The following is a 19,542-nucleotide window of genomic DNA, read 5'->3' as shown; positions in this document are numbered from 1 at the left end:
ATAACCTCCATCCCTGCCACCAAGACCACTTTGTTCATGGGCCCATTGGGCGATGACAGGGGTGGCTGGGGAAAGACGCTGAGTGGTGTCCACAGAATGGGTCATCCTATCCACTTGATTATTAAAATCCTCCTCTACTGAGGTCACCCACTGGTGAGCACTCACATGGGATACAAATATCTTCATGGTTTTTCACCACTCACAGAGGTCCATCCACATACCTCGTCCCCAAATTTCTTTGTCACCAATTTTCCAAGCATGCTTCTTCCAAGTCCCTTACCATCCAACCAAACCATTGGCTAGAGTCTCCATAAATTAGCATATAATTGCACATCTGGCCATTTCTCCTTCCATGCAAAGTGCACAACCAGGTGCACTGCTCGAAGTTCTGCTCACTGGGAAGATTTCCCTTCACCACTGTCCTTCAGAGATGTCCTAGAAAGGGGCTGTAGTGCTGCAGCTGTCCACTTTCGGGTGGTGCCTGCATATTGTGCAGAACCATCTGTGAACCAAACCCTAATCTTCTCTTCCTCTGTCAACTAATCATAGGAAACTCCCCATGAGGCCACTGGTGCAGCCTGGGGGAGAGAAGGCAGGGTGGCAGGAGTGGAGACCATGGGCATTTGAGCCAATTCCTCATGTAACTTACTTGTGCCTTCAGGAACTGCTCAAGCCCGATCACATATATACCACTTCCATTTGATGATGCAATGCTGCTGTGCACCACTCACTTTATGGCTAGATGGGTCAGAAAGCACCCAGTTCATGATAGACAGTTCAGGTCCCATGGTGACTTGATGACCCATAGTCAAACGTTCAATTTCCACCAAAGCCCAGTAACAGGCTAAGAGCTGTTTCTCAAAAGGAGAGTAGTTATCTGAAGAAGATGGTAGGGCTTTGCTCCAAAATCCTAGAGGCTTCCGCTGTGATTCACCTATGGGGCCTGCCAAAGGCTCCAAACAGCATCCCTATCTGCCACTGATACCTCAAGCACCATTGGATCTGCTGGGTCCTATGGCCCAAGTGGCAGAGCAGCTTGCACAGCAGCCTGGACCTATTGCAGAGCCTTCTCCTGTTCTGGATCCCACTCAAAACTGGCAGCCTTTCAGGTCACTCAATAAATGGGCCAGAGTAACATACCCAAATGAAGAATGTGTTGCCTCCAAAATCCAAATAGACCCACCAGGCATTGTCCCTCTTTCTTGGTTGTAGGAGGGGCCAAATGTAGCAACTTATCCTTCACCTTAGAAGGAATATCTCGACAGGCCCCACACTACTGGACCCCAAGAAATTTTACTGAGGTAGAAGATCCCTGAATTTTAGTCGGATTTGTTTCCCATCCTGTGGCACACAAATGTCTCACCAGTAAGTCCAGTGTGTTTGCTACTTCTTGCTCACTGGATCCAATCAGCATAACATCATCAATGTAATGGACCAGTGTGATATCTTGCGGAAGCAAAAAAGCAATCACGGTCTCTCCGAATAAGATTATGACACAAAGCGGGAAAGTTGACATACCCCTGAGGTAGGACAATAAAAGCATATTCCTGGCCTTGCTGGCTGAAGGCAAATTGCTTCTGGTGGGCCTTATGGACAGGAATGGAGAAAGGCATTTGCCAAGTCAATGGCTGCATGCCAGGTACCAGGAGATATGTTAATTTGCTCAAGTAATGAAACCACATCTGGTACAGCAGCTGCAATTGGAGACACCACTTGGTTAAGTTTAATCCACTGTCATTCTCCAAGATCCACCTGTCTTCTGCACAGGCCAAATGGGAAAACCGAATGGGGATGTGTTGGGAATCCCCACCCCTGTGTCTTTCAAGTCCTTGATGGTGGCACTAATCTCCGCAATCCCTCTAGGGATGCAATATTGTTTTTTATTTGCTATTTTTCTAGGTAGAGGCTGCTCTAATGGCTTCAATTTGGCCTTTCCCACCATAATAGCCCTCACCCTACCAGTCAGGAAGCCAGTGTGGGGGTTCTGCCAGCTGCTAAGTATGTCTCTGCCAATTACGCATTCTGGCATTAGGAAAATGACCACAGGATGAGTCTGGGAATCTACTGGACCCACTGTAAGTCAGACCTGAGCTAAAACTCCATTAATTACCTGACCTCCATAAGCCCCTACTTTAACTGGAGGATCACAGTGATGTTTTGAGTCCCCTGGAATCAACGTCAACTCAGAGCCAGTGTCCAGTAGTCACCGAAATGTCTGATCATTTCCCTTTCCCCAGTGCACAGTTACCCTGGTAAAAGGCTGGAGGTCTCCTTGGGGAAGGATGGAAGAAAGATTCACTGCATAAATTATCAGTAATGTAGTGGGGTCCTTCCTCAAGAGGACACTGCCTCCCCTTCATTCAAGGGGTTCTGGGTCTGTAAACTGGCTCAAGTTTACAGACTTGATTGAGGGGCCGTGATTCTCTGTTTTTATAATTCAAATTAGTCTTTTGCCCATTCAACCTGAAAGTTTTCTGCTTGTATAAATTAAGTAGGAATGCAGTAGGCTTCCTATCAATTTTACTTATAGGAACACCATGATTAATTAGCCAGTGCAAGAGCTCTACACAAGTCAGACTATTCTGATTGCTGCTTTGCCTCTGCTGCCCATTACGGTAGCTGTGCTCACCTTACCTTTGATGGTTGAGTGCTGCCACTTGGCCCCTGCCACCTCGGGATCCAATTATTCCCACTGAATTTAAATTTTGTAGTTGAGTGACTGTGGTTCCCACTGTTAGATCTGACATACAGAGAAGAGTAACTACAGGGCTCTTCAAAGATGCAGGTGCTGCCCTCACAAATCTATTTCACAATCTATTTGGTTAAGGGTACATCTTCTGGACCCTCCCAGCTGGGATGAGTAGATCTAAAGTGACTAATCCACTCCACCATCCCAATCTCTCTAAGCCTTTGGATTCCTTCCTCTACATTAAACCAAGGGAGATCAGACACTTCCAGCTCACTCACAGTGGGCCATCTTTTAATCCATATTTCAGCTAACCAAGCAAATAAACTATTAGAACATTTTTTAACTCCCCAAGCTGCAATATTAAAAGCAAAGTCCCTACTTAGTGGGCCCAAATCAATAAATTCAGCCTGATCCAACTCTATGTTCCTTCCACCATTATCTCATACTCTTAATATCCATTCCCATGACTGTTCTCCAGATTGTTGTTTATATAAATTAGAGAACTCCCCTTTTTGAGTGTAGCTCACCTCCTCATGGATCATACTCTCAACCTCACCTCCGGGGACCTGCTGGGACTTTATTCTAGTTATAGGTCTAGAAGCAAACAGGGGTGTTGGGGGTGGCTCCTGAGGAGAATCAACATTATTTTGCCTGGCAACTGCCTCAGAGGAGGCCATCACTGTCGTCTCAGGCAGTGCAGGGTTTATCTCCTCAGGCAAAGGTGGAAAGGCTGATGGCAGCATGGGTCCAGGAGGGGATGTTGCCACTACTGGGAATGGCAAAGCTGTTCCTTCTCTCCAAAAAGGTTTATCAGAGTTTACAAACTCAGTGTCTCCAGCTTCAGCAGGGTCCTCCCATACATCCCCATTCCAAGTTTCAGGGTCCCACTCTTTTCCAATCAATGCCCTCACTTTAACAGTAGACACCTGGAGAGGCTATGCACCCATCTTTGGTTGCAGGTCAGCCACTCACATGATAAGAGCTTGTGTCTGTTTTTCCACAATTTCAGGTTTTTCTCTACAGGAGATAAGACTCTCACTCAGGGCAGTCTTAGCAGATTTGAGGCTCAGTATCTGCTTCTGAAGCCAGGAGACAAAATTCCTGAGTTCATCATTTTCTTTCATCAGTTTGTCCACTGAACTTAGAAGCAACAAGCCAGCTTCATTATGTTCTTTGGTTCTCCACATATGCTCAAAGCTATTACGTATAGAATCACGGAAATCCTTGCCTCTCATGAGCAGCAAATCAGGAGTGTCAAATAGCTTTATTTGCATAACTCTCTAAATAGTTCACACCAAGGACTATCAGTGTTCTCCATACTGTTAGAATTAGAGTCCTTAGCATTTTGAGGTCAAATCATATTAAGCAGCCAACTCCAGAAACCCCAAAACCAATGAAAAAACTCCATCCTTAATATTCTGTTCCTCTAGAACCACTCCTGGTACCAAAATCTGTATTAGTCAGTGTTCTCTAGAGGGACAGAACCAATAGTATACATATATATAAATATATATATATATTATATATGAATTTATTAAGTATTAACTTACACAGTCACAAGGTCCCACAATATAGACTGTCTGCAGGCTGAGGAGCAAGGAGAACCAGTCCAAGTCCCAAAACTGAAGAACTTGGAGTCCGATGTTCGAGGGCAGGAAGCATCCACCACGGGAGAAAGACACAGGCTGGGAGGCTAGGCCAGTCTCTCCTTTTCACATTTTTCTGCCCACTTTATATTTACTGACAGCTGATTAGACAGTGCCCACCCAATTAAGGGTGGGCCTGCCTGTCCCAGCCCACCGACTCCAATGTTAATATTCTTTGGCAACACCCTCACAGACACACCAAGGATCAATACTTTGTATCCTTCAATCCAATCAAGTTGACACTCAGTATTAACCATCACACCGGGGAAGCTCTAGCCTTTCACAGGAAAGCAAAGGACAGACACTCTGTGGCCTCAGAGGGCTCAGGGTGACCTAGAGTTTCAAGACATTCAAGGGAATCCATCCAGATGCCCCTGTCCTAAGTGTCAGAGCCCCCAGTCAAGCCCTGATCAATCAAACAGGGCTGACTTGCTATGTTGAGAATTCAGTTTTCTTTAGAAATCTGCTGCCCTAACAATTCATTCCTGGGCCAAACCTCAGTTTTTTCTGCCTTCCAGCTGCAGGAGAAAGCCTCTTTATCTGACGGCAAGGAGGCCCTCTGGCTTTCACACTTCACCTTAAATTGGTGATTAATCACTCTCAGCATTTCATTGTCTTTTTCCAATGCCTTGCTTGCCCCCAGCAACAATCATTTAATTCCATAGACTTCATAATTATCATTCCTCTGAGCCTCTCGAATGTCTGAGAAAGTACACCCACTAGTACTTTCCCTTTCACCAGTATCCCATCCCACTTCCCCATCAGTGAAAGTTTTAACAATTGCACTGCTAGAGCATGTCAGGGGCTATCAGTACCTCCACCCACCACCAGTGATGGGGTTCTTATTACCAACTGGCCGGTGGATGATCCAGCTCCAAAATCCCATTTTAGAGTCTGTTTCCTAGGAACCACTTCTAGCACCAACTGTAGTAGTAGGTCAAGTTCCCTAGAAATAGATCAAAGATGGAGATTTGCATGCAGAGGACTTATTGGAGAGTGCTCTTGGGCACAACACCAGCAAAGAGGAATGGAAGCCAGGCTAGGCAGAGAGAGAAGTTGAACTCTGATGTATTGGCAACAGAGGTAAATCTGGGCTGACCAAGGGCTGGTGGAAAGTGCTAGAGCAACTATGACCCTTTAGAGATGTCCCAAAATGAAGGAAGAGTTATCCATTATTGAATTGGAACTATCTCCAGGGAGATGTAGTACCCTTTGGGAGGTGGTGTAATAACCCTTGGGAGGTGGCGTAACACTTGGGAGAGGCAGTTCCATTTGGCCAAAGGCAGTTCTTGGGAAAAGACTCAGAATATTGTTGGCCACAGATGCTTTCATTGACTGGGAGAACAGAGTGCCTCAATGAGTCCTTTTGCAGGAAAGCCAGGGAGACATACCATGGTATTCATTATACCCAAATCAGGGAAGTAAAGATGGAGAGTGGTGGTCAGTATTGTTGCTGAGGTCAAGTAAGCAACCACTGGACTTGACCACAAGGAAGTCACTGCATATTGGGAAGTGAGTTCATTCAGAGGAGCAATGGGGAAGAAGCCCACGTAGAAGGTAAAGAGTGAGCAGAAGATAGGAAGGAAAGATAGCTCTTTTGACCCTGCTAATGACTGGCTTCCTATATGGGCCTAATACCTATGAGCAGTTATCCTTTAGGAATGCACAGCTTTGAATGTAGCTTGCATTAACTCTGTGCAATCATGTGTGCAGACACATGTACACACACAGGTACACATTGAGCTGCCCCAAGGCAAGGATTCCGGCCAGAGACTTGTAAGCAGACCTCTATCCTCATTAACCAATAATGACCTCTGCAGATCAGACTTCTGTACACCACCTCTTCCTGTATACCTGGAAAGTCAAGATTTCCCAGCTGGAGTTTTGGCTTTGTCTTCAAGTCTGATAAGAATCCTGGCAGCAACCCAAAGCAAGGAGAGCCCAAGGTACTAACAACATTAACAACAAGTTAATATTCAGTGACTATCAGCTTTGTCCAAAGCACCTGCAAAGCGCTTTACAAACATTAGTTAACTACATCCTAAAACCCTGTCAGATGGGTACTTCTATTATTCCATTTTACTGATGAAGAAGCAGAGGCTCCAAAAAGTTAGACAACTTGCCCATAGTTTGCACAACTGGTTGGTAGCAAAACTGGGATTGAGATTCCAGTGAAATTGATGGCAGTCACAAGCAGCACACTGAAAAACGGGCAGGTTCATTCATTCATTCAGCAAATATATATGGAGAGCCTACTATGGGCCAAAACTGTTCCAGGCACTTGGAAAACATCAGGGAGCTATACCCACAGAGATCCCCTTTCCTCATGGGACTTTTCTAGAGGGAGAGATAGACAAACAGTAAATTTTATTTTATTTTATTTTTTTGAGACAGTCTCACTGTTGCCCAGGCTAGAGTGCAGTGGCATGATCTCAGCTCACTGCAACCTCCGCTTCCCAGGTTCAAGCGACTCTCCTGCCTCAGCCTTCCAAGTACCTGAGATTACAGGTGCATGCCCCCATGCCTGGCTAATTTTTGTATTTTTACTAGAGACGGAGTTTCACCATGTTGGTCAGGCTGATTTCTAACTCCTGGCCTCAAGTGATCCACCTGCTTCGGCCTCCCAAAATGCTGGGATTACAGGTATGAGCCACTGCACCCAGACAACAAACAATAAATTTTATATATTAACATTTACTCATTTATGTATAGTAAAAGACAAAGTGGACGCTGTGGTGTGGCACCCAGTTCTCCACTTCTGAGCGGATGCACTCACCCCCAGCTGCTTTGAGCACTGGTGGCCAAAGCCATTCAGCTGAGTCCCTCCCCAGAATTGTGCTCAAAGAAGACAGCTGCTTTACCCAAGGTCACTCCCCTTCCCTGGGGGCAGCCCACACCCAATAGTAGGTAGATGAAGCTATAAGTTCCCCAGCCCCCTCACCTTAATGCAGAGCGACTCTGAAAGTCCCCCCAGCTCACAGCTCCCCATGGGGTCAGCTGAGGCCTTTGTTGTGACTACATCACAATTCAACTGTTCCCTCTGCCTGGTTCTGCTTCCTCCACTGTGAGAGCCTTCCCCTGTAAACCTCCTGCAAGCCGAAGTCTCTGTCGGAGTCTGTTTCCCAGTGCACCCAACTTGTGATAGAAGGTATATGTTCTGCTGAAAAAGAGAAAAAGGAAAAAAAAGAATAAAAGCAGAGTAAGTTGGATTGGGAGAGCAGGGCTGAAGGGGCAGCAGGTTGCAGGATCAATAGGATATTTAAGGTGATCTCACTAAGAAGTGACATTGGAGCAGGCTTGAAGGAGGAGGAAGAGGGTTATTCAAGCAAAGATCGGGTAGAAAAGCATTCTAGGCAGAGAAACAGCAAAGACTCTAAGGCACGGGTGCAGCAAGGAGGTCATTGTGGCTGGAGAGGAGTGCAGGAGAGAAAATAGGGGAGGAGAAGTCAGGAGTGGGTGGGGTTAAAGGAGCAGATCACATAAGGACTCACAAGCCCCTGTAAGGTCCTCAAGTATTTCTTCAAGAGGAGCAGAGAAGGACAGGGTCTGGCTGCCGCATGGAGGGGAGGAGCAGGAGCAGGAAAGCCTGTCTGGAGGTTGCTACAGTAAACCAGGTCTTCGTGGGGTTGGTCGAGGTGGTGGCAGTGGGGGTGGTGAGAAGTGATCAGATTAAGAATATGTATTTAAAATACAGCCAGCATGATCTGCTGATGGACTAGAAGTAGGAAGTGAGAAAAAGAGAGGAGTCAAGAATGACTCCAGGGTTTTTTTGTCCTGAGCAATGGAAGCAAGGACTTGCCAAGAGCTGAGACGGGGGAGGACTGCAGGAGAAGCAGGTTTGGGGGAGACCAGGAGCTCTGCTTTGGAGCGTCAAGTTTGAGATTCACAGAGTAGCATCCAAAGGACTGAGCCAGCCCAAACTCTGTGACAAGGTACAATCCTACTGGGGCTCAGGAACCCAGTGGAAGTGAGTGACCCTGGGGGCTCAATGGCACAGGGGTCTGAGTCTATGATCTCATCACCTGACATTCCAAGATCCACTCCAAGCTCCTCTGGCAGCCTAATTCTGTGAGCAAAAGACAAAAAGACAGACAGAAAAGTCTCCATTTGATGGTGGAGAAGGGTCCAGCCCTGTGCATGTTTGGGACTGAGCTGAGAGCGTGCTCGCAGGTGAGAGTAGGGAGTCTATGCAAGTCGAGTGTGATCGTGCACATGGAGATGTTGATTGTGAGTGTGAGTGTGTGTGAGTGTGCGTGTGGCAGTGCAGGTTCAGGAGCTGGGCTCACCCGGAGTGTGCAAGTGTGTATAAGACTGATGCAGTGGCCCTAACTGCCGGGCACACTCCAGTGTGGGTGAGGAAACAGGCCAGCCCAAGGCATGAATGCACAGTAGCCTCCCATGGTAGTGGAATGTGTAGAATAAACAAAGGGCTGCTATCAGCATTTGAAACACAGCACTTGGGTCATCCAGCGGGTGGGGGCAGCATTGCCCCCTTAGCCACCCTGAGCCACATGGGTCCCCTCGGAGCCCTGCACAAACAGTCCCAGGACATGGAGGTCCCTGCAGCTCCCCCATTCCATGCCCTCCTGTTCCCCTGGGCTGCTCTCGGCTGGGCTGGGAAAAGTGCCGACACAGCTCCGGGGAGGGAGGAGAGTTAACTCTCCATTTGCCATTAAACATAATCAGGGAGCAATCTGCGTGGAGCCCGCTGCTCTGGCCAATAAGTGATTCCCCAGAACAACAGATAAAAGCCTGGCACTAAAGTGCAGCCAGAAACGATGTGTAATTGGGATGAAAGAATCCTTAAATCTGCACGCTGCTTTTAACTTGGGAGGCTTAAATTACAATTAATAGTTCCCTTGAAGAAGGCAGTAGGGGAATAGAGGAATTCCAAGGCCTCGAGCTCAGAGCCCTGGGCTGCATTCTCAGCTCTCCAGTGCTGGGGGAGTACAGGGGGTGCTGGGTAGTAAGGAGGAAGAAAGAAGCTGGGGGTAGGAGGGGATCCTTTGCAAGGTCTTGGGCACCCTGATGGGTTGCATTCGTTATGAGTTCCAAAGCCACCAGTTCCCAAATAAGCTCATCCGTACACCTGGACTTTCGCCCAGTTTCCCTCACAGTGTCCCTGGGATGTCGCCAACAGTAAAAAATCATCAGCCCCATTTTGCAGATGGGGAAGCTAAGGAGACACACCTGCCCTGGAACCCTGAAGTGTGCCTAATCCACCTGCAGTTCCCAAACTAGGAGGAACCTGAGAGCGCATCCCTCCTTACGGTTCACTGGGGTATAGCGGCCCTGAGAGGGGAGGGTGTCTGCCCAGCATCGCAAAAGGCTGCAGTGTGCAGCTAGTCAGTGCTAGAACCCAGACCTCTTGACTCTAGCGGCCATTCCTTCCTCTGCACCCCAGGCCAATGAGCCTGGAATTCTCTAAGGAGAGTACAGTTCTCTGGCACTAGCCATGCAGCCCCTCCCTTCCCCTACCTGCTCCCAGGGGTCCAGGCAGTGGCAATAACATTGTCAGAGACAGAAAGTCAGGGAAAGATGGGGAAGGCTCCTCCCCAGCTTTCCCTCGGAAGACTTCTTACCCTCCCCTCCCCTGCCAGCTCTCTCTCTGCCTCTCTTGGGCCTCAGTGCCCAAGGCTTCCTGCTTTCTGTTCTAGGGCCACAACTTATGCTCCTCCTCTGGGGTCCTGCCCTGAAGGCAAAGCTGTGGGCAGCAGGGCTGTGGACAATCAGGTGTGGCAGCAAGGCACAAACCAGAATGGTGAAGCTAGCTGGCTCTCCTCCAAAGAATGAGGGGTTTGGCCCTCAGATGACACCAAGAGACAGTCAGAGGAAGCTCTGAGAGTGGCCCGGCATTCCCAGTGCTGGCTGGGTGGCTGCCTCTGCCACTCAGGCCGGAGCTAAGCTCCTGTGTTGGCGGGAATTCCAAAGCTCCCCACACATGAGCTCATGGATGGCCAGGTGCCCAGCCTTGCAGTTCATGGCTTTGGAATGCGTTCTCTGAGCTGGCCTGCTTCAGTACCCCCATCTCACCACAGCAAGTACTGCTGCCTGCTCTTGGCCCTCCAAAGACAGGCAAATCCCATAAAGGGCTTTTTTCTAAAACTGCTAAATTGTGCAAGCACATACATGCGTGTGTGTATGCAAGCAGCATGTGGACAAAGCATCCTGTGTGCATGGGTGAGTTCGTGTGCACCTGTCTCTAGCATGACTGGGCATACATGTGCATAGGTATATGTCGTGTGTGTGTATTCTGTGCATGAGTAGTTTTAAAAGAACACAGTGGGATCTGCTTGGGGCCTTGTGTAGCTGAACCTTATTTATAGCTCTCCTCTGTCTGGTTCGTTTCCTCTAACTTCCCTGCAGAATGATATGAATGAAAATGACACTATTGACTATCTTGGTAACCATAAAAGACCTTATAGAAATAAGATTTTTATAGTGTGTGGACTGGGAGAATCAAAAGACTAAGAGTTATGGACTCAGAGGATAGGAGAGAACCAAGCTGAGCCAGTCGGAGATGTCCCCGTGGTGGATCGTCTGTGGGTTTTTTAAACAAAGTCATATAAATAAAGTGATTGTCTTGAAAGAGTTATGAGAGCCCTGAATCTGGTGGGCAATATCTCTGTGGCCTCTGCATAGGCGGGAGGGCAGGCGTGCTGTCCACCTGAGAGGAAACCCACACTTTGTCTGAGTCCTGGCTCCCGGCCTCCCAAGGGAGGCTATGGAGGCAGCAGCAGAAACAACGCTGCCCTTTGTTCTGGAGAGCCATCGTATTTGGCAGCCCCGGGAGAAGAGCCCCAGGGCTAGCCCCACAACTGGCTAATGGGAATGTGAAGACCCAACGTGGACAGCCAGCCCCTGAGGCTGAGCCTGCAGATTCTGGGGCTGCAGCTTCTCCATGCTTGAATGGAAAGGACCCTCCCACCCCATGAAGAGTGAGCATTTGGACCCTGCACAGGGACTTGCTCAGGCCCTTCATGGGAAGCCACAACAGCAACCCTGCCTAGAGGGCTCCCGCCTGAACAGGTCCCTTTTAGCAAAATCCAGACCCAGTTCCACACATCTTTACCAGCTCCCACTTTGCATTTGTGCTTTTAGAGATGAAGCAGAGCTCGCCCTGCCCTCAAGGAGCATCCTATCTGGTTTGGAGGGTGGAGAAGGGAAGAGTGGGCAGAAAGACATTCCTGCAAAGACTGATGCATGGAAACCAGGGCACACTCTCCCACTCAGGTACACAGGTTCACAGGTAGACAGGTACACAGGTAGGCAGGTACAGACAGAGAGCAGTGTTGAAACTTGGTGATAAAACTTCTATCCTGTTCATCCCAACAGACTCAGTGCTGGGCCCTGGGCACGTAAAGCTGAGTCAGACTCAGTCCCAACCCTAGAGGGGAAGCTCTCACCCAAAGGGCAGATGGACAGATCCCCACAACATAGTATGTTAAGGGCTGAATTGCATGAGTTCCCCAGGAGCCACCGGTGACCTCAGCCTGGTCGGGTAAAGCTCCTCAAAAAAGGAGACATTTCTGCTGAGCCTGGAAGGACAGGTAGGAAGGAGCTTACCAGAAAAAGAAGGAAGAGAGGGCCTGCCTGGCAGGGAAAATGGCAAACACAAAGGCCTGGAGGTGGGAATGTACAAGGCATATTTGGGAAACCACTCAGGTGTCCTAAAGGTTTGCTGGCTGGCAGGAGGAGGGTATCTTTTGAAAGGGATATTGGAAGCAGCTCTTTCAGGAAGGAGGGACCATCTGGCCCAGGGGTCCAGGCAGTGGCAGTAACATTGTCAGAGACAGAAAGTCAAGGAAAGACGGGAAAGGCTCCTCCCCAGCTTTCCCTCTGAAGACTTCTTACCCTTGCTGTTCCTGTCTTTATAGGCAAAGAACAGGACAGCTCCCTTAGCAGCCAACCAGCCACCAGCCCAGCTCCCCAGGTGCCTCTCCTTCACTCTCCCTTCTTATTCCAATATCACCACCCTCCAGCCCAACCCTAGCCCACTGGGGCAACACTAGGTCCATGCCCTCTTCCACCTTGAAAGGAACAATTCTAAAAACCAGAGAGAAAGCCATCTGGTCAGGCTGCTCATCAGAAATAACTGCCAAGTCTGAGAGGTCATCCTGTCTGTCTCCTCTCCCCGGGGACCTGGGGACATGGGGTGAGGGCCAAGGAGTGCCTGTGGCACCTGTCAATGCACGGACTCCTTGTCTGCAGGCATTGATTTCTCTCCTTCCTGACCTTTCAGGAGAGGCGCCCTGAATTCCATGCCGGGTCATTACAGAGCCAGTGGCGGAGACTCTATGAGACCCAGCCCCACTGGCTGCAGCCCCTTCGGATGCATCTGCGAGAGCAGCCTGGCCGTCACCCGCCGGCCTGGCCCGTGCTGTCAGCCGGCCAGAGCGTGTCTGAATCGAGGAAAGCTGACTGGGGCTCGATTCACACTGACTCGAGCCGCAAGGCGAGTTTATGGTTCTTGATTACACCCAGCAGGGAGGCCTTCTTAGTGATGAGAGAGAAAATATTCAACAACCTGTCTTTGCAATGTGCTGATCTCTTGGAGAGAGAGAGAGAGAGAGAGAGAGCAGAGAAAGTGGAGGAGGGGTTTCAAAGGAGGGTGATTTATGAGTGGAAAGAAGGCTTTTTTAAAAAAAAATCCAGGGCTCCCCCAAACTGCCTCAACATTTCCTCTTTCTCATCGTTGGGTTTTGCCTTGATATAACTTTGAGGCACAGTGATTGCATCCCTGTGGGTTTCTGCAAGCTGATGCAAAGCTTAAAAGGATGCAGGCCCGGAAGGCACTGTAGTCCATCCAGCCTTCACTCAGCATTGCCTCGCAGCTGGGAGAGGTCCTGGACAGCGCTGCCTGCAGAGGCTCCGTGCAGCCCAATCCCCAAGCCCTTCTCTCCTTCACAGCCCTTTTCACATTCTGCTTCATACTTAAACTGCATCTGCTTGCACTCGGCACCCAAACACGGTGCCTGGCTCATGCTCGGTGTTAATAAATGAACAAATGTGTGAACAGGTATGCATCTACTCTCCCTTACCAGGCCGTGCCTCCCAAAGCCCCCATCCAGTAACCTAAACAAAGTCAGCCCTGATGATGTGTTGGGATGAATGAGTGAGTAAGTAACACAGTCCACACCCTGTAGAGTCTGGGCACTCTCACTGGGCTGCTTCACCCTGCATGTTGTTTCTGAAGCTCACTCTGGTTTTAAATGACACATCCTAGGCCCCCAGAAAATGGGATGCTGGAGGAAGAAGGGGAACTTTTCTGAAGACAACATTTTCAGTTGCTTCTTAATAATTCATGGGAACTAGAGTTTTAAACCATTGGATCTGAAAGCACCTCCCAGCGGACAGTCACTGAGCATCTGGTGGGGGGAGGGAAAGAGGAGCCCAGGTTTCTCCAAGAACCCCAATCTCTTCCTTCCCAAGACATCAGAAAGGAGTCTAGGGGCTGGCCGTGTTCCCTTTTCTTCTCTCCCTCACACCCTCTCTCTGCCCCCTCGGCTTCCCTGGGGCTCTCCTATGGCCCAACTAAGTCTCCTGCCACTTCCCTTTCTGCCTCAGCCTCCCTACTTGAGGGATGGGGAAGGCATCTCAGAAGAAAGAAGGCACCCTTATCTTCATATAAACATCAGGATTCCAGCCTCCAGGATGCGTCCTGGGTTCCTATGCCCAAGGCAGGAGGGAGCCAGTGTGTGGAGGGCGGTGATACCAGGCTTGCCACCACCAGCAGAAGTGAGACGAGTTCAGCCCAGATCAACCCCCGACGGGAACCTTGCAAAATCACCAAAACCCTGCAAGCTCAGTGTCTCTGCCCCAGAGAGAGGCGTTGGCACCTGGTCCCCACTAAGGCAGGCTGGGTCAGCCAGCTGGGGGGCTCTCCAGGCTGCCAGGGAGAACAGCCACTGAACCCCAGGGCTGCTGAGAACCCAGCCAGCTCTCCTTGACTCTGGCTCTGTGAAGTTTGGTACCCACCGAAAGGGGAGGGGGCAGTGTCACGGGGACGGTGCCCAAGCTCCAAAACTTTACACTGAAAGTTAATCCACTGAAGCGGAGCCCAAAATAAGCGCACTGCCTAATGTGCCGGGAACTGCCGGTCGCAAGGCCAGGCTGCTAGCGGATGCCGGCGCATCTCCGCCCGCCCGGAGCCTGCATTTAGCGCCAGCGAGGGAGTCTGGGCTGGAGCGCTGCTTTCACACCGACTCGAGCCGCGAGTTTATGGATCTTGATTGCACCCAGCAGGGAATCCTTTTTAGTGATGAGAGAAAAAATATTCAACAACCTGTCTTTGCATTGGGTGTGTTGGACACACTTCCCTGCTTCGGAATCAGACATATGTGAGTTGTGGGAGTAGAACTGCTGTCAGCAGGCCAGAACGCGCCTCTCCTCTCTTCTCCTCTCTTCTCTTCTTCTCTTCTCTCCTCTCTCCTCTCCTCTCCTCTCCTCTCTCCTCTCCTCTCCTCTCCTCTCCTCTCTCCTCTCCTCCCCGCGTCCCCATCCATGGGGGCAGGGGAGCCGAGAGGGGGTTCTGTGTGGCCGGCCCCAGCTGCTCCGGGAGAAGATAGGCAGTCCCCCCAACCCCGCGAGGCCCCCACCCCGGCCCTGGGCCCTCCGCCTGCTCCGCCGCCCCGGCCGCCGCCTCCCTCCTCGGCCTGCGCTGCGCGGCTGGGCCGTCCTCCTCGGGGAGCCGGCTCCCGCGTGGGGCCCGCTGACAGCGCGCCCAGTAGAATATTGTATTAGTTGGTTGTGAGCTGTGTTCTCGTCAGGGTATCTGAGTTTCACAGAACAGACGGGGTGAGAGTTTTTGTGCTATATCCAGATTGGCTTAAAATAATGTCGTTTTTGTAGCTTATTAAACCACAGAAACTACACCAAAGTCATCCAGGCTGCTGCCAGCAAACTCTCTGAGTTGGGGTTGGGGTAAGAGCCGAGTTCAGGCCAGGGGTCAGGCTCCTCGCTCCCAGAGCTGGAGCCAGGGAGAGAGGGAAGTGACCACCCTCTGCTGCCTTCCTTGTGGGCTCTGACTGTGGGCTCTGACCTTGGAAGGATGTAGATGGGTCTGCGGCAAGGCTGGGTCCTGCCCCGACCTCAGAACTCCCTCTGGGTCATCTGAGAGCTCAGGGACCACTTGCCCTGGCTTCGGGTTGGGACCTGCAGGCACAGGACAGCTGGAGTTGAGGCACTGCCCTGGTGGGGAGAAGCTGGGCTGAGCTGGGCACTGTCTGCAGCCAGGGGGAAAGGCTGAGACGTGGCAGGTCCAAATCCTATCTGGAGAGGCCCATGCCTAGGCAGGGGAGATGGTGTGGCGGGGGGATGGGGGGTTGCCATTTTTTTTTTCCAGGATTGCGAGGAAGAGGCAGGGCCTGGAATTGCCAGGCAGTAAAGACCTACAGGCACCCCTCCCCTTCTTCCCCATCCCCAGTTCCAAAAGAATAGCTGTGTCCCCTCCCTGTGGAGGGGGGAGGCCTCCTAGGAGACATGCCATAGCAGCCCTGTTCCCTGTCACCCTGCACAGATCTGAGCATCATTACGAGCTGCCATGGAGGCCCTTCACTACCTTAAACTTCACAACAAGCCTATGAGGTATGTATTAGAATGATCCCTAACTGCCAGATGAGGAAACTAAGGCTCAGAGAGGTAGAGTGATTTGCCCAAGAACACCCAGTTACAAAGTGATAATTTTGAAATGTGAAGCCCAGCTAACCACAGAATGAGAGTTCTAACCACTGTAGCACAGGGCTTCTCTGGAATTTCAGACTTAAGAATGAATGATGAGGCCAGGTGCAGTGGCTCATATCTGTAATCCCAGCACTTTGGGAGGCCGAGGTGGGCGGATCACTTGAGGTCAGGAGTTCAAAACTGGTCAGGAGTTGAAACACCATCTCTAGGAAAATACAAAAATTAGCAAGGCATGGTGGTACGCGCCTGTATTCCAAGCTATTCACGAGGCTGAGGCAAGGGGATCGCTTGAGCCCAGGATGCGGAGGTTGTAGTGAGATGAGACCGTGCCACTGCACTCTAGCCTGGGTGACAGGGTGAGACTCCGTCTCAAAAAAAAAAAATGAATGAATGATATATAGTTTTCCTTCTCCTGCCATCTCCTGTTTGAGTCTTTTAGAAACAGAGGAGGCTAAGGAAAGTGAAAATGATTCCAAAGGAAACAAATCCCTGCCCCCATTTCCTGATTTGTCCACTGCCATGCCTCTGACCTCCTGCCTCCTCAGTCTCTGGTGTCCAGCAGGAAAGAATCCAGGGCTCCAAATCTCTCCAGGGCCATGTGATACCCTGGCCTATGGGAAGATGCCCTGGTCACTTTTCCTAGGCTCCTCCAGGTAGCCGAGCCTCAGCCACCAGGGCCACAGACTTCTCTGCTGCCTTGAGGGACCTACGGGACTAGCAGGAGCTGCTCTTCCTCGTACGACTTCTACCCACCCAGGTAACCAAAAACCTAGGTGTCCTTCTCAGTGACTCCCTTCCCCCACCCCACCATGTCCAGTCTATCCCCAAACACTGATGCTTCTACCTCTTAAGAGCATCTCCCCAGTTCCACCTCCTGACCCAGCCCAGGCCTTATCACCTTTTGCCTGGGGGTTTTGGCATTACTCAGCTCATCAACTGCTCAGCCTCCAGTCTCTCCTTCTCCAGTCCACACCGCACCAGAGTGAGCCTTCTAGGATGACCATGCCACTCTCCTGTGTGAAACCCTTATCAAGGGCTCCTGCCTCCATGCTATAGGATGGAGGTGTCATGACTTAGTCTGGCCGACAAAGACCCTTTACACATCACCTCTGCTCACTTCTCTGCCTCATCCCCCTACAACCCCTGCATCCTGCCATCCAGGATGAATGGTCCCCCCAAACCCAAGCTTCTTTGACACCTCCCTGTTTTGGCTCAGTTAGGACCTCCCGCCTGATACCTGAACTTTGTGGGATCAACTTCACATCCCCCAAAACAGACCTGCTGGGGACAAAGAGCATGACACACAGAGCATCAAAGTAGCAGTCCAGAAGCCCTGTGCAGGAGGCAGGGTCCAGGACCATGCCCTCCAGGACAGGCTGGGGGCCGCAGTGCCCCTCAGTGGTCATGACTTGGACCTGGGCCCAAATCCTAGCTCCAATATTGGGGCTCATCATTGAACCCCTCTGTGTCTCAGTTTCCTCACCTGTAAAATGGGGTAATAATAGTATCTACCTCCTAAATTGGTTGTGAAGATTAAAATAGTTAATTATGTAAAGGGCCTGGAACAGGCTTGTCATACAGCGTTACATAAATGCTAGCTGCTTCTATTATTATCACAGTCCATCCAAGCCCTGCCTCCTTTGACCTTGACCCTTTGATCGCCAGTGACCTAACAATTCTCTTTCTCTTGCACACACATCCTCACATACATATGTGCTGATGTATACACACACACCCACGCATACAAGCATGTGCCTTGCCAGCCTCCCCACCCTCAGAACTCTTCTCGCACTTCATGGTCCTTCTGAGTCAGTTTCAGAGCCCACGTTTCTAACTCTCTACCCATTTGCCACATCAGAGTTCAAAGTCGAAAGCTTCCCAAGAACCCCACCCAGGTTCCTCCTGCCACCCAGAGGATTAGACACATGGATCCCCAGCTATTCCTGGCCCCTGCTACACTGCTCAGCAGGTGGGGTGCTGGTGTCTGGTGGGGGGGACTGAGGCTGGTGCAGTGTAACCAGCAGGCATGTGGACAAATGGAGATGGTCCCTGGGAAGATGGGGAGTTCCTTCCAAAATGATTCCAACTCAGGAATGATGCCTCCTTTTTTGGCTCCTGCTCCAGCAGATCCCAGACTCACCCCACTCTATAGCAGACCCCAAAGCAGGAGCTCTCACACGAATTAGACATTTTTGTTTCCTGGGGAGTTTGCTGTAGTCTGGTCTGCAAAGTGCCAAGGGCTTGCTGACGTGCCATGGGCATGAAACAGGACTTCCCTCATGGTCTCACAGAAGCTTCTAGACAGGGCCCTTGCACACCAGGAAACTGTAACACCCAGCTCAGACTAGCACTTTCATACACCCAAGCGTCTAATTGGGGGGAAAGGGGGAGGGAGGTGGAGTAAAGCAGAATGGAATTTGACTCCATTACCTCCCCACTGTGTGATTTCAGGGATATCACTTGACCTCTCTGAGCCTGCTTCCTCCTGGAGACAACAGTGTATACTCAGGGCTATTGCGGGGAATGACAAGGAAAATGGATGAAAATGTGCTGGAGAAATTCTGAGGCATCAGTCAGATGAAAGGTTGTTTACCATCACCTTGGAAGCTGTGCTTGCTCTGTCCCCAGGTTCACTTTCTGCCCTGTTCTGGGCCCTCCAGGGGCCTTCCCTATGAAGTGTGTCTCCCAGGCTCTCCCACCCTCTGGCTTCCAGTCCAGGCCAGCTAATATGTGGCACCAGCAAGGAATCAAGGGCAGGAAAAGAGAGAGGTTGGGAATGTGCCTCCCATCTCCTCTCTGACTCACTGCATTCAGGCACTGGCTGAGCTATTCTATGGCCACAGCTCTGTCCAGCGGCCCCTCCTCTGTCCTTCCTTCCCTTGCCCCTTCAGGCCTAAGAGCGGCCACAGCTTCCTTCTCCCTGTTGCTAAAGTCCAGATGCTTCAGCATCTTGTATTCTTTCTCTTAGCCCTACCTCTCCCTCTCAAATCAGAGCCTGTTTGGCGAAGACTTTTCAGGTGTGCCGACTGCCCCAAGCTGACCCAGTGCGGATCCTAACTGGCCCCACCAGCATCTTCCATGCTCACCCAGCTGGCCCATGTCTTGAAGATGCCCTGGGCTCCCAGCTCTGCCACCCCAGCTTTCTGAGTCTCCATGGATCGGGATCACTGGGGACCCAGCAGGAAGAAGTTGGAGAAGATAGGAAGGCAGGACGGGACTGGAATGATTCTAGGATGACCACCCCACTGGCCCCTGCAGCAGAAGGAGCCTCAGCCTGGGCCCTGTCTCTGCCAACGCCCCCTCCTGGCAGAATGGGCAGCCTATCTGGGTAAAGACCTGCCCAGACCCCACAGCCAAGGGCAGCCCCTCAGAGATTCAGGCCAGGAGCGGCCTTTGTTCCCCACACCTGGAGCTCAGAGCTTGCTTAGCCTGCGGTGGAAGCTCTGGTTTAATTAAGGATCTTAGGAGAGAATTCTCTCTTGTTATTTTCTGAATAAATTAAGGAAGTAACTTTGATGCAATATC

General features: G+C 50.6%; 2 long non-coding RNA genes across 8 annotated transcripts in view, besides 1 other annotated feature; one reads left to right on the top strand and one right to left on the bottom strand.

The window, feature by feature from the left end:
- The window catches only part of LOC105378654 (uncharacterized), a 77,745-nt gene extending 70,250 nt beyond the window's left edge, over nt 1-7,495 (bottom strand). For 4 of the 6 annotated variants that reach the window (XR_001737987.2, XR_002958294.2, XR_001737986.1 and 1 more), the window contains exon 1: nt 7,277-7,320. This is a non-coding gene — a long non-coding RNA (uncharacterized LOC105378654). Of the gene's footprint in view, nt 1-7,276 lie in introns of all 6 variants that reach the window. The other 2 variants (XR_007065910.1, XR_001737985.1) reach the window with 2 other exon arrangements.
- Nucleotides 7,416-19,076, top strand: LINC02786 (long intergenic non-protein coding RNA 2786). Of its 2 annotated transcripts, none has more exons than XR_001737991.3 (6): nt 7,416-7,534; nt 12,578-14,675; nt 15,854-15,921; nt 16,661-16,774; nt 18,469-18,601; nt 18,986-19,076. It is a non-coding gene; the product is annotated as a long intergenic non-protein coding RNA 2786 (long non-coding RNA). The 2 variants fall into 2 exon arrangements; XR_007065917.1 differs by having other exon boundaries at nt 19,010-19,075.
- Nucleotides 7,961-8,874: an enhancer, noted in NCBI's record as "H3K27ac-H3K4me1 hESC enhancer chr1:38605789-38606702 (GRCh37/hg19 assembly coordinates)". NCBI's record gives its function as "activates a minimal SCP1, AML or CMV promoter by ChIP-STARR-seq in primed H9 embryonic stem cells {active_cell/tissue: H9 hESC(primed)}" and the evidence as "EXISTENCE:reporter gene assay evidence [ECO:0000049][PMID:30033119]".
- Nucleotides 19,077-19,542: the final 466 nt, after the last annotated feature.

This window comes from Homo sapiens, chromosome 1, assembly GCF_000001405.40.
Source record: "Homo sapiens chromosome 1, GRCh38.p14 Primary Assembly".
NCBI classification, from domain to species: domain Eukaryota; kingdom Metazoa; phylum Chordata; class Mammalia; order Primates; family Hominidae; genus Homo; species Homo sapiens.
The sequence above is the reverse complement of the archived record's forward strand: the minus strand, read 5'-3'. Positions and strand labels throughout refer to the sequence as shown.